Below are 12,948 nucleotides of genomic sequence, written 5' to 3'. Positions count from 1 at the left end.
TTCCTTCCCTGTGGGAAATTCTATCCCTACCTTGGAGAAGTTCACAGTTTAGTGTGGAGAAGACAGACAAATAAAGACATTATTACAATGGGATGGAAATAGGAAAGTGTTTCTCCCTCACTAGAAAGAGTGGCCTGTGGACCATAAACAAAGCTTTTTCCTTCTCTCCCAGGGCTGACCTTAAATGCTTATGATTTAATTGATAGTAATAATTAGAAAAAGCAGATTGAGATAGAATTTCAAATTATGTCTGAAACCTACCACTCACCCACTCAACTGAGTTAAAAAGCAAACACTTGGCCAGGTGCAGTGGTTCATGCCTGTAATCCCAGCGCTTTGGGAGGCTGAGGCAGGTGGATCACTTGAGGTCAGGAGTTCAAGACCAGCCTGGCCAACGTGGTGAAACCCTGTCTCTACTAAAAACACAAAAATTAGCCAGGCATGGTGGTGGGTGCCTGTAGTCCCAGCTACTTGGGAGGCTGAAGCAGGAGAATCATTTGAACCCAGGAGGCGGAGGTTGCAGTGAGCCAAGATGGGGCCACTACACTCCAGCTTGGGGGACAGAGTGAGATTCCTTCTCAAAAATAAAATAAAATAAAATACAAAATAAATAAAATAAAATAAAAGATTTTTATTTTTTTTTTTTTCCTGAGAAAATTGCTTGTCTTTTTGATGGGAATAAGCCAACTTTCCTCTTATTTCCAGTTATGAGGTAATGAGCACTATTCTAAATAATGGAGAATGTATTTTCTTGAATCTAGGCAGAAAGCTTTGACTAGAACCAATTCAAATTTCTGACTTGATGTGAGCAGTATAAAGAAAATTGCAGTCCACTTAATTTACAGTAGAGAGGAGAAATTGAATTGGTGATTCAGTAAGGTGAACATCCAAAAAAATTAAGTATTTCAGAGATTAAAGTCCCTAAATCCCTGGATTTGACAAAACTAGTTGACAATAAATAAAATGAGCTAGTTATAGAGTTATCAGAGAAAAAACATTATGCTTTATGGGGCTCTGCCTTTTATATTTTGGGTACTGTCCAAAACAATCTAGGCAGGACTTTTACTTAGTTAGGAAGTGGGAGGAGTAATCCCAACAACTTTCCAAATGTCAAATTTTTCGTAGATTTAAGACAGCATTGGGAGCAAGTCTAGGAGAGGGTTCATTGTAGTATATATTGAAACCAGACCAGTGTTCTTTTTATAACTATGGTTGCTGATCTGACATTTTTCATTGGAACTAGAATTTCACTGAGTGTTTTATGTAGGAAAAGTGACATTTGCAGTCATCTTTTGATGTAATTGTTTCTTCATGTTTTCGGGAAAAGGATTTTTTTTTTAATAAAATGAAGTCTCTATAGAAAATTGCATTTCCTTGGAAAGCCAATGATTAATTCACTAAACTTAAGACTTTAGATATATGTTAAATTAGATTTCTTAATAATCAGAAATATTCCAAATACCCACAAAATGCAAATTAGGAAAAAAAAAGTGGTTGATAGTTAAATGTGTGAGACTGAATATACCAATGGATAATGGCCCAGACTACATGTGACAATATAACTCTGACCCACAACTTCTGTAGAAAACAGCCCAGAAATTGAAACCACAAGCTCTTCATCAATAGGTCCAGGAAGGTTGGGCCTTGGTTAGTGACTGCCAGCTTCTCTATTTTTTGCCACTCCCACTCCTAATCCAACTCAGGACCATCCAGAGAAAGTCAATTATGTTCCCCAAACCAATCATATACAATATCCAACTTCTAATTAGCTGCCTCCAGCTTCTCCAGGCTAACAGCCTCCTCTCCAGGCACACCCAAGGCCTTCCTTTTCCACTGTAAAGATTTCCCACAGCCTGAGTCTGTTCTGGCTGCAAGTGATGCTGACTCTCTTCCTCTAACAAACTGAATAAATAGTCTTCGTTTTGTTCCATTTGGGTAATCTTTGTTTATTTCCTCAAGTGGAAAATATGTAGAACTACAAGTTTCTAGAAAATAAGCTGAAAGCTCAGTGGTTTTATGCTCTATTATCCATTGAAATACTAAAAACTTATTAGGCTAATTATGTGACATTTGCCTATAGTCAATCAACCAACAAGTATTTATTGAGACTTGACACTCTGCTCTGTGTTTGGTGGTGTGGAAGTTATTGAAATTGTATTAGAGCAAACTGGTATTAAAGAGCTGCCAACAATCTAATTTGTGCTGAATACCTGCTATAATCAAGACTCAGGGGTCAAACATTCCATGAATCAACTCTTAGTTTTGCTGTTTACCAGCTCTTTGACCTTAGGCGAGTAACTTTGTTTAAAAACTTCAGAATAATCATTTTTAAAATGGAGAATAATAAATATCTACCATAAAGAATTTTTGTATTAAACTAAATGATTCAGCTAAAATGCTAACACTTTGCCTGATAGTAATAATTGTACATTATGTGACAACTTATTATATTACATGCCCACCACTATTTTAATATGTAGGAGGTGAATAAAACATATTTGCTATCCTTGGGAGAATTACCTATTTGTGAGGAAAGAATATATGAGTAGTATACATGGATTGGTTAAAAAAGTTTTTTAGACAATGCATAATTCAATGTTGAATCGATGGTAGTGTTTTTAAGTGCTTTGAGGCTTGGTAGAGGGGAAATTAATGCACACTGGAATGCTTTGGAAATAATTTTGGGAAGAGGAGGCTGTTGACATGGATTTTGATGACTGGCAAGATTGGGATAGGTGGAGTAAAAGAGGCAGAGCTTTCCAACTCAGAACATCACTCGTGAAATCCCCATCACCCCTGTGAATCTGTGAAGACCTTGGCCTGCTGGGAACAGATAACTTGTATTGGCAAACTGGGAATTAACGAAGACTGAATTGGAAGGGCAGATTATGGATGTAGATCTTAAGAAAGTTAGAGACAATGAGGGCTACTCTAAGGTGGTATTTAAGGAAGTTTGATTTAGCTGTCGGGTGGATTAGCAGAGAAGTCAGGGAGACTGAAGTTACTAGGGAAGTATTGAGTCATCTAGCTATGAGCCGAAGCCTGCCTAGGTTAAGGTGGTTGTGGCAAAAATGAAGAGGGGAAAACTTTAGAGGAAGGATATCTAAGATTTGGCAAGTGAATGGTTATAAAGAATTAAATAACAATAATAAGAATTACTACTTATTAGCACTTGCTATGCAGGCAGTATTATGTAAAAGAAATATCCAGGCTGGGTGCGGTGGCTCACACCTGTAATCCCAGCACTTTGGGAGGCTGAGGCAGGTGGATTACGAGGTCAGAAGTTCGAGACCAGCCTGGCCAAGGTGGTGAAACCCCATCTCTACTAAAAATACAAAAATTAGCTGGGCGTGGTGGCAGGCACCTGTAATCCCAGCTACTCAGGAGGCTGAGGCAGGAGAATCACTTGAACCCGGGAGGCAAAGGGTGCAGTGAGCCGAGATCGCACCACTGCACTCCAGCCTGGGTGACAGAGCAAGACTCTGTCTCAAAAGAAAGAAAAAAAAAAAAAAAAGAAAGAAATATCCTTTACATAAGTAACTGGCGAAAAACGTAGATTGTGTTCACAATTCGAAACAACTTTCTTGAAAATTGCAGGAATTTTAACTCTGTTACTGCTCATGGTACGAACTTTACAGTTTACTTACTTTTGATGTTACTTTTTAGTAGAATAATAAGTTAGAGTTATTATTAAACAAATGCATGCACATATTTTATGAATATCTAACATCATTAGACTTTCGTAAGTCATGTAGTAGGTTACCAATAATTACCCTTTAGTCAAATGTATAATTAAGAATCCCCTGGAAGTAGGCATTGCACTGCCCTGAGAGCCAATGCAAGGACTGCACTTTTGGAGCCTTTCTCTGCCCACCTGTTGGCCTTTCAGGAGTCACCAGTTGCCACAACTGATCCTATTTTAAGAAATCAACTCTGGATAATGTTATCATTTCTCCTATCAGCCTGGTTGGCTTTCTTAAAGGCATAGATATAAACCAAAATGTTTTCTTCTTCTTATTTCCATAGGGTCCTTTCTTTGAAATAGATTGCACTGTTTTGTGGCAGCTTTCAGATTGACTCACTAACTACATGGTGGGGTAGAAAAGCAGACACATTCCTCAAATGCTCCTCTTCTCTATTTTTCATAGTAAGAACCTGTTGAGAACTGAATTTCGTCCTCTCCAAATTCATATGCTGATGTATTTAGATGCCCCACTGTGATGGTATTAGAAGGTGGGGCCTATGGAAGGTAAATAGGTGTAGATGAGGTCATGAGGGTGGAGCTCTCATGACAGGATTAGTGTCCTTGTAAGAACAGACACTGGAGCTCTTTCTCTTTCTCTTTTCTCTGTCTCTGCCTTGTGAGGACACAGCAAGAAGGTGACTGTCTGAAAGCCAGAAAGAGAGTCTTCACCAGAACCTGACCATATTGGCACCCTGATCTCAGACTTCTGGCCTCCAGAACAGTGAGAAAATACATTTCTGTTGTTTAAGCCTCCAAGTGTGTGGCATTTTGTGATAGCAGCCCAGGTTGACTAATATAGAACCTCAATACTTAAAGCCCTTAACATACATCTAATCTCGTGCTCGATGTTTTTGCACTTTATCTCATTTAAACCTTACAATACCACTGTGAGACCAACTTTATTATCCCTAAGTTACAGATGAATAAACTCAGGCTCAAATTGATTAAAATAACTTGATCACTGGCACACAACCAATCGGGGTAGAGTTAGGATTTGAACTCAGGTCTTGCTCCAAATTCCATTCCCTTAGCAACTGTACTTCTTCTTAAAGGCAAGTATAAAATTAGAAGTGACTTCAAGTACAATATGGGAACTGTGAGGCCCTTGCCAGAGATAGATAAGCTAAGAAAGAGAAACAGTTTCAGGCAAAGTAGGAGGAAGGATGTTGCTAAATTTAATCTAGAATATGTTGAATTTGGGGAGATGAATAAATATTCATATAAAAAGTTAGCACAGAGGCTGGGTGCAGTGGCTCACACCTGTAATCCCAGCACTTTGAGGGCAGAGGCAGACAGACCGTTTGAGCCCAGGAGTTTGAGACCAGCCTGGGCAACATAGTGAGACCCTGTCTCTATAAAAATATAAAAATTAGCTGGCATGGTGGTGCACACCTGTAGTTCCAACTACTCAGGAGGCTGAAGTGAGAGGATCAGTTGAGCTCATGAGTTTGAGAGCAGCCTGGGCAACATGGTGAAACCCTGCCTCTACAAAAAAAATACACAAATAAGCTGGGTGTGGTGGTGTGTGCCTACTGTCCCAGCTACTCAGGAAGCTGAGGTGAGAGGATCACCTGAACCAGGGAGTTCAAGGCTACAGTAAGCCCTGATCATGCCACTGCACTCTAGCCTGGGGGAAACAGTGAGAGCCTGTCTCAAAAAAAAAAAAAAGTTAGCATAGAATATTACCTCCATACACCCATTTTTGAATAATACATATCAAGACAATGGCAATATTCATTGGCAGTTACTATTAAGAGATATTTCATAACCTTGTGCTAAGATCATATGGGAAAAGATATGTCAGAGAGATCCTCTTTTCTTGTCAGACAGACTTAGTTTGCAATTAACCACAAAGATCTGTCTACTCGCTTTTTCCTCTTTTCCTTTAGTGCTGGCAGCTCTATCTTTGCTCCTTTTACCTACAGTTGAGGTATTTATTACTGTGCTAAGTCACAAAGGCCTTTAAGGTTTTATTCAAATCCAAGAATGATGTAGAACTGATTAGATGGGTTATTCTCATCTGAAAAGAACCAAGGGAGTCAGAAGAGAGAGACTCAATTCAATACTTGGTATAAGAAAGTAAGCCAGCTGGAGAAGTTCTCCGATTAAATCTAATTCAACATGACTTAGAAAGAAAGTCCACCGGGGACATAATTCATCAGTAAGGCTCAGACTAGACTGCCTTGCTATGCCAAATGAATTCGAGGTACAATGCCACTTTGAAAAGACAGAATTGCTGTCAGGACTCATGCATAATAACCCTGAGCAGGGCTAGTTTTATAGATTTGGAAAGCATCTCATCTTACTCTACGCACTTAGGATGAGTCAATCAAGATAGGATTTATGAAAATTCCTTTTGTAAGAAGAGAGTTTTGTGGGAGGATGCAGCTCATTTTTTAGTTTTAAAGATAAAGACTCATCCTTGAGAAATAAAGAATGTGAAGCCAGCTGTAGAGCTAGTAAAATAAGTAAAAACCACTTCACCTACTCAACTGTAAACTATAAATTGAAGCATTATATTAGCTGATATTTAGATACAGTAAAATTATTATGGCTTAAATATTAGGAAAAACTGGGCTTCAAACCCTGTCTTTGCAATTTGGTAGCTGTGTAACTGCAAGCAGGTTACCAAAGCTCACCAAGTGAACGTATTCTAACCTCTAAAAGGGAGATAAAACTATTTTTGTGTGTGTGTGTTGCGGGGTGGGGTGTGGGGGGGTGTTAGGAAAACATGGAACAAGTGAAGTATGGCGTCTGGACAATGTTAAGTGCATTTTACCCCATAATCTAGAATCTATGCTTCAGCAAAGTCTGACTAAAGTTTAGACACCTTCTTCCTTTCTGGTTTCATGCTCATTCCTAGTACCAAAACAGGATGCTGCTTCCACTGACTTTGGGCCTATCTTATCAACTCAGAGATTGGTCAAACCTTTTTGGATCTCCCAAAGCCTTCTCACTTCTCTACACATTACCTCATATGATTAGGAGTGTTGTTTGGAAGAGAATAGCCTAGAAGTCACTAATAGTCTGTGATCAACCTGCTGCTCACCTAACAGCACCTTGAGGAGGGGCCAAAAAGAAATAAAGAGAGAGTTAATATAAAACAGTGAATGGAGGTACTGGGATGAAGTGCAGAAACAGGATTCAAAATGAGTGTCTCTATGGCTCCCAGAAACACTTGTGGATCTTGAAATATCTAATGCCTGGGCCTGTGGTGCATCCTAAACCTACTGAGTTGGAATTGGAGTTCGGGGAAAATACAGGGGACAAGAACTTGTGTTTTCTGCAGTGCTTTCTTGGCATTTACCTTGCCAGGAGTATGTTTATTTTATTACTCTTTTCCAACAATTCATTTTCACTTTGTTTGTTCTTTACACTAAAAAATTTTGCAATATTTAAATTTACAAAAGAGATGAAAAATATTGCAAACTTATTGTATATTCCTCACCCAGCTTACCTTTATGTTAACATCTTATATAACTATACAACATTTATCAAACTAAGAAATTAACCTTGGTACAATACGATTCACCAAATAACAGAACTTCTTTACATTTCACCAGTTTCTCTATAGTGTCTTTTTCTGATTCAAGATCCCACATGTATTCAGCTGTCATGTCTCTTGATCTCCTCCAACCTGTAATAGTGCCTCAGTCTTTCCGTATCCATTGTGACTTTGGATAAGCCTGGTCAATTATTTTGTAAATTGCCTCTTGCTTTAGGTTCTGATGCTTTCTTATAATTAGATGGAGGCTATGCATTGTTAGAAAGGATTCCATTGAGGTGATGTATGTGCCCTGCTTAGTGCATCATGTCCGGACACATGCTCTTGATACATATTGCTGGTGATTTTAACCTTGATCACCTGGCTGAGGTGATGTCTGTCAGAATTCTCCACTGTAAACTTATTATTTTTTCCATTTGTAATTATTACACACATTGGGGGAACATTTGGAACTATGCAAATATCTTGTTTGTGCTTACTCTTTCACCCTTTAATTTTACCATTCATAGTGGATTTTGCCTCCAGCAGTTATAATGCTGCTGTTTTGATGGTGATTTTCTATTTCTCTCATTCTTTCTACATTTATTAAAACAGAAATCTAGGTATTGCTGTGAAAATATTTTGCAGGTGTAATAAAAGCCTACGTATAATTACCTAAAGATGTAGTCAGTGACTTAATTTGGGGATGATTTTCCTGGGTAATCTGGGTAGATCTGATTCAAGAAACTGAAAGGCTTTAATAGCAGGGCTGAGGCTTCCCCAGAAGAAAGAAGAAATATGCCTGTGAACAGCAACTTTAGTAGAGCATCTGTGGAGGTTCTACTTTCTTATGATCTTTCCCTGGTTGCCTGTGGATAATAGCTTTGGCACTTGCTTGTGAGTTCCAGCTTTGCCAGTGGTGGTCCTGTCTTGACTACTACTTGGATTTCAGACTTCTGCATAAGGCAATTGTTGTTATTGTGGTTGTTTCTATCTGTCTGTCTATCTGTCTGTCTATCTATCTATCATCTATCTATCTATCTATCTATCTATCTATCTATCTATCTATCTATCTGATCTTCCAATCTTTCTCCTTCTGATTTTGCTTCTCTGTTTGTACCCTGAGTGACACAACAACTTGATAATATTCCATGATTCAAACCATGAACATGGTATATCTTTATTATTTAAGTCTCTGATTTCTTTCATTATTATTTGTATGTGGTTTTCAGCAGAAAAATCATGCCTATGTTATATTAGTTACACTTAAGTATCTCTTTGGTGTTATTATACATTTTATTGCTTTTAAAAATGTTCAATTCTTATTATTTATTGAGAGTATATAAAATATAATTGATATTTGTATGTAGGTATTCTGCAAACATGCTAAACTCATTTATTAGTTCTAGAAACTGTATAGATTTTTTGGGAGATCTATACAGACAGTATTGTTGTCTAAAAACAGAGACCATTTTATTCTTTTCTGAAATATAAAATTTTTGTTTTCTTGCTGTATTTCAATGGCTAGAACTTTGAGTACAATGTTGAGTCTAACTGGTAAGAGAAGACATCTTTGCCTTGTTCCAAACTGTAGAGGAGAGTACTCAGTTTTATACCATCAAATATGATGAAGCCCTTTAGCAGTAGAAGCCCTTTATCAGATTCAGACAGTTTCTTTCAGTTCCTAGTTTTCTCAGAGTTTTAATTTTGAAGGACTATTGAATTTCATCAAATAATTTCTGCATTGGCATTAATGTTTTTTTCCTGCTTGTTTCTATTTTATTTTAAATTTAACCTTAATTTTTTTTAAAAAGTAAGTTATGGATTCACAGGAGGTTGTGCACACATTGACAAATTATTGAATGCTAAACTAGTCTTACATTCCTGGGATAAGCCACACTTGGTTTTGATGTATTTTCATTTTTATATATTAATGGCTTGATTAGCTAGCATTGTATTAAATATTTTGTGTGTGTGTGTATATATGTTCATGAAGATTATTAGTCTGTAGTTTCCTTATAATATTTTTGACTAGATTTGGTATTAGGGTAATGCTGGCTTCATAAAATGAGTTGGGAAGTCATCTCTCCTCTTCTGTTTTCTGGAAAAGATGATATATAATTATATTATTTTTTCCTTCAATGTTTGGTAGAATTCACTAGAGAAGATATTAGGCATGAAGATTTCTTCCTGAAAGTTTTTAAAGCAGGGATTCAATTAATGGAATAGAATCAGCACAACTGAAGTTATCTACTTCATTTTGGTAATTTGAATTTTTTAAGGATTGACCCATTTCAACCAGGTTGTCAAATGTATGTGCAAATAATTTTGTAATATTCCTTTATTCTTCTTTTAATATTTTTGGGATTTGTACTAATATCCTCTTTTCTTCCTGAAGTTGGTAATTTGTGTCATCTTTTTTTTTCCTTTGTCAATCTGGCTAAAGATTTATCAATATTCTTAATGTTTTTAAAGTATTAACTTTGTTTTTATAGATTTTCTCTACTGACTTTTGTTTTCAATTTCATTATTCTGTGCACTTATCTTATTTCTGACCTTCTGATTTCTTTGGGTTTAGTTTGCTCTTCTCATTTCTTAAAGTGAAAGCTTAAATTATTAATTCTTAACTTTTAAATTTTCTAATATAAGCATTTAATGCTATAAGTTTCTGTTTAAGCACTACTTTAACTACAGGCCACAAATTTTGATGTGTTATATTTTAATTTGAATTTAGTTCAAAGTATTTCTTAAATTTTTTTTAGACTTCTTGTTTGACCCATGGTTACTTAGAATAATCTTTTAAATATCCAAACATTTGAATATTTTCCACATATCCTTCTGTTATTGATTTTCAATTTCATTCCATTATGATCTGAGAACACAGTTTGTATGATTTTCATTCTTTTAAATTTGTTGAGGTTTGTTTCATGGCCTAGAAGAATATGGTTGCCTGTGGTTGAGATTTGTTGTTGCTATGGTAACTCTCAGTGTACCACAGGCTAGAAATTGCTCTGCTAGAGGTACCTTTTGTTTAGGGTCAGAGTCTGTCTGCTGAACTCTTGAGTTTTAGGTCTTCCTTTTGCACCTCAAAGAAGATCTATTTGAATACTCTTGTTCTTCTGTTCCCTCCCATTGGTATTCTGCTGTAATTTAGCTTGGAGCTACAGAAAGTAGTCTGTTGTTTTGATTAATCCTCGGTTTTAGGCATGCATTGCTTATCTGGAGCTTGGGGGTGCTGCTCTCTCAGTTCTGCCTTTTCCCTGGCTAAAGTTTTGGGCTCAGTGTAATACTACTCCTTCCCTAGGCAAAGTATTTCCCTCTGTTCCCTTCCACCAGCTGCCAGGAGTTTTCACAGGTGCCTTGAGAGCAGCAGTAGTTTCTTGCCTCTCTTGCTCTCTTGCTCTTGTCCTCCCTAATGTCCGCACCCTGGTGCTTCTTAGAGCTCTTCTTAATCTTTCCTGTGAGCAGCCAATGGGGTTTGTAGAGAAAGAGTCTCCAAGTAGACACAGAGTCAATTTCTGCAGCCCCCAGAGCTTTCACACTGTCTGGCCAGCCCATGCTTGTCTCAGTTGTTCAGTAGGTTCAAAAAAAGTCGTGAATTTAAAGTGAGCATGGTTGATTTTGTTCTAATGGGGAACAAGGGTCTTCCAGCTCTCTGCAAGTTGGGCAGATGCAGAAACTCTCTGTTTGCATTTTAGTTAATTTTTTTTTTTTTTTGCTCTTTTCTTTATATACTTTATCTTTTACTTTTTTGGGTTTATCTTGCTGGGCAATTTTTTCCTCCGAAATATTATAAGTTATGTGTTTAGTTTATTGCAACAAAACAAACTCTAATAGGCCTATATGGTAAATCAACACTATTGCTACAACCCTGTAAATAAGGCCAAAGCTAATGAGACCAACCTTGCTTTGTGATCATGAATAATCCTTCTGTTTTAGTATTTTTGATCAGAAGGAGGGTGACTTTAAGAAAAAAATTGCCCTTCTATGGAAACCTATGCATTGTCTATAAATAGCACACCCTTCCGGGTTATCTGATTCTATACTTTCATTTACTAGGAATTATTTTACAACTCTGCAAGTTGTAGGTAACTGATAGCAATGCAAAATAATTTTTGATTGTAGACATGCAGATTCTGTTCTGCCTGGTAGAGGTTTAACTTCCTTTCTCCTCTGTGAAAAATAAGTTTTTTTGTTTGTTTGTTTTTCTTTTTTTTTTTTTTTTTTTTTTGAGACGGAGTCTAGCTCTGTAGCCTAGGCTGGAGTGCAGTGGCGCGATCTCGGCTCACTGCAAGCTCCGCCTCCCGGGTTCAGGCCATTCTCCTGCCTCAGCCTCCCAAGTAGCTGGGACTACAGGCGCCTGCAACCACGCCTGGCTAATTTTTTTTTATTTTTAGTAGAGATGGGGTTTCACTGTGTTAGCCAGGACGGTCTCGATCTCCTGACCTCGTGATCCGCCCGCCTCGGCCTCCCAAAGTGTTGGGATTAAAGGCGTGACCCACCGCGCCCGGCCGGAAAATAAGTTTTACGTCAATTTACACATTCTTTTCAATATTCCTAATCTAAAAATGTGTCTGTTCTTTGGATTCTCATTTGAATCTTCTTGGTTTTCTTACTGATTAAAGAATTAAATATTTAACACAAGTCAGTTTTATATCTGTATGAGAATCACGGTTTTACCTTTAACGAACCTTATTGATACGGTTTGGCTCTGTGTCCCCATCCAAATCTCACCCTGTAGTTCCCATAATTCCCATGTGTTGTGGGAGGGACCTGGTGAAAGATGATTGAATCACGGGGGCAGGTCTTTCCAGTGCTGTTCTCTTGATAGTGAATGGGTCTCATGAGATCTGATAGTTTTAAAAACAGGAGTTCCTCTGCACAAGCACTTTTTGCCTGCTACCGTCCACGTAAGGTGTGATTTGCTCCTCCTTCTCTTCCGCCATGATTGTGAGGCTTCCACAGCCATGTAGAACTGTGAGTTCTTCATTAAACCTCTTACCTTTGTAAATTGCCCAGTCTCAGGTATGCTTTAGCAACAGCGTGAAAACGTGCTAATACAATTTTCTTTTTTTTTTTTTTTTTTTGGAGACGGAGCCTCACTCTGTCGCCCAGGTTAGAGTGCAGTGGCGTGATCTCGTCTCCTTGCCACCTCCACCTCCCGGGTTCAAGCCATTCTCCTGCCTCAGCCTCCCGAGTAGCTGGAATTACAGGCACGTGCCACCATGCCTGGCTAATTTTTGTATTTTTAGTAGAGACTGTGTTTCACCATGTTGGTCAGGCTGGTATGGAACTCCTGACCTCGTGATCTGCCCACCTCGGCCTCCCAAAGTGCTAGGATTACAAGAGTGAGCCACCGCACCTGGCCACTTATCTTTTAACAAGGCTATGGATTTGTCACTAAGTAATGCTTTTGCTACATTTCACAAGTTTTGTTAGAAAACATTTTAGTCACTGGTCATTTATAAATGTTTTATACTTTGCATTATTCTTCTTTGATCTCTGACTTGTTTAGAATTTTGCCAGATTTGTAAACATGTTTTTTTCTCTTGGTTTATTTTGTCTTTGACTTGTAACTAATTTGCATTGTGGTCTGAGAATACACTCTGTATCTATCTTGCCATCCTTTGAAATTTGTTAACGTTAACTTAATGGTTTAGAATGTAGTCAGTTTTCAAAACTATTCTATTTGTGCTTTAAAAGAATGTAAATTATTTAA

At 37.7% G+C, this 12,948-nt stretch overlaps 1 long non-coding RNA gene across 1 annotated transcript in view, besides 2 other annotated features; it reads right to left on the bottom strand.

Annotated features, from left to right (window-relative positions):
• The window catches only part of LOC105375856 (uncharacterized), a 103,037-nt gene that overhangs the window by 27,540 nt on the left and 62,549 nt on the right, over positions 1-12,948 (bottom strand). The window lies entirely within an intron of this gene.
• Positions 11,067-11,577: an enhancer, noted in NCBI's record as "H3K27ac-H3K4me1 hESC enhancer chr8:58831957-58832467 (GRCh37/hg19 assembly coordinates)". NCBI's record gives its function as "activates a minimal SCP1, AML or CMV promoter by ChIP-STARR-seq in naive H9 embryonic stem cells {active_cell/tissue: H9 hESC(naive)}" and the evidence as "EXISTENCE:reporter gene assay evidence [ECO:0000049][PMID:30033119]".
• Positions 11,578-12,090: an enhancer, noted in NCBI's record as "H3K4me1 hESC enhancer chr8:58831444-58831956 (GRCh37/hg19 assembly coordinates)". NCBI's record gives its function as "activates a minimal SCP1, AML or CMV promoter by ChIP-STARR-seq in naive H9 embryonic stem cells {active_cell/tissue: H9 hESC(naive)}" and the evidence as "EXISTENCE:reporter gene assay evidence [ECO:0000049][PMID:30033119]".

The sequence above is a fragment of the Homo sapiens genome, chromosome 8, assembly GCF_000001405.40.
Source record: "Homo sapiens chromosome 8, GRCh38.p14 Primary Assembly".
NCBI lineage: Eukaryota > Metazoa > Chordata > Mammalia > Primates > Hominidae > Homo > Homo sapiens.
This window is presented reverse-complemented; position numbering and strand designations above follow the sequence as displayed.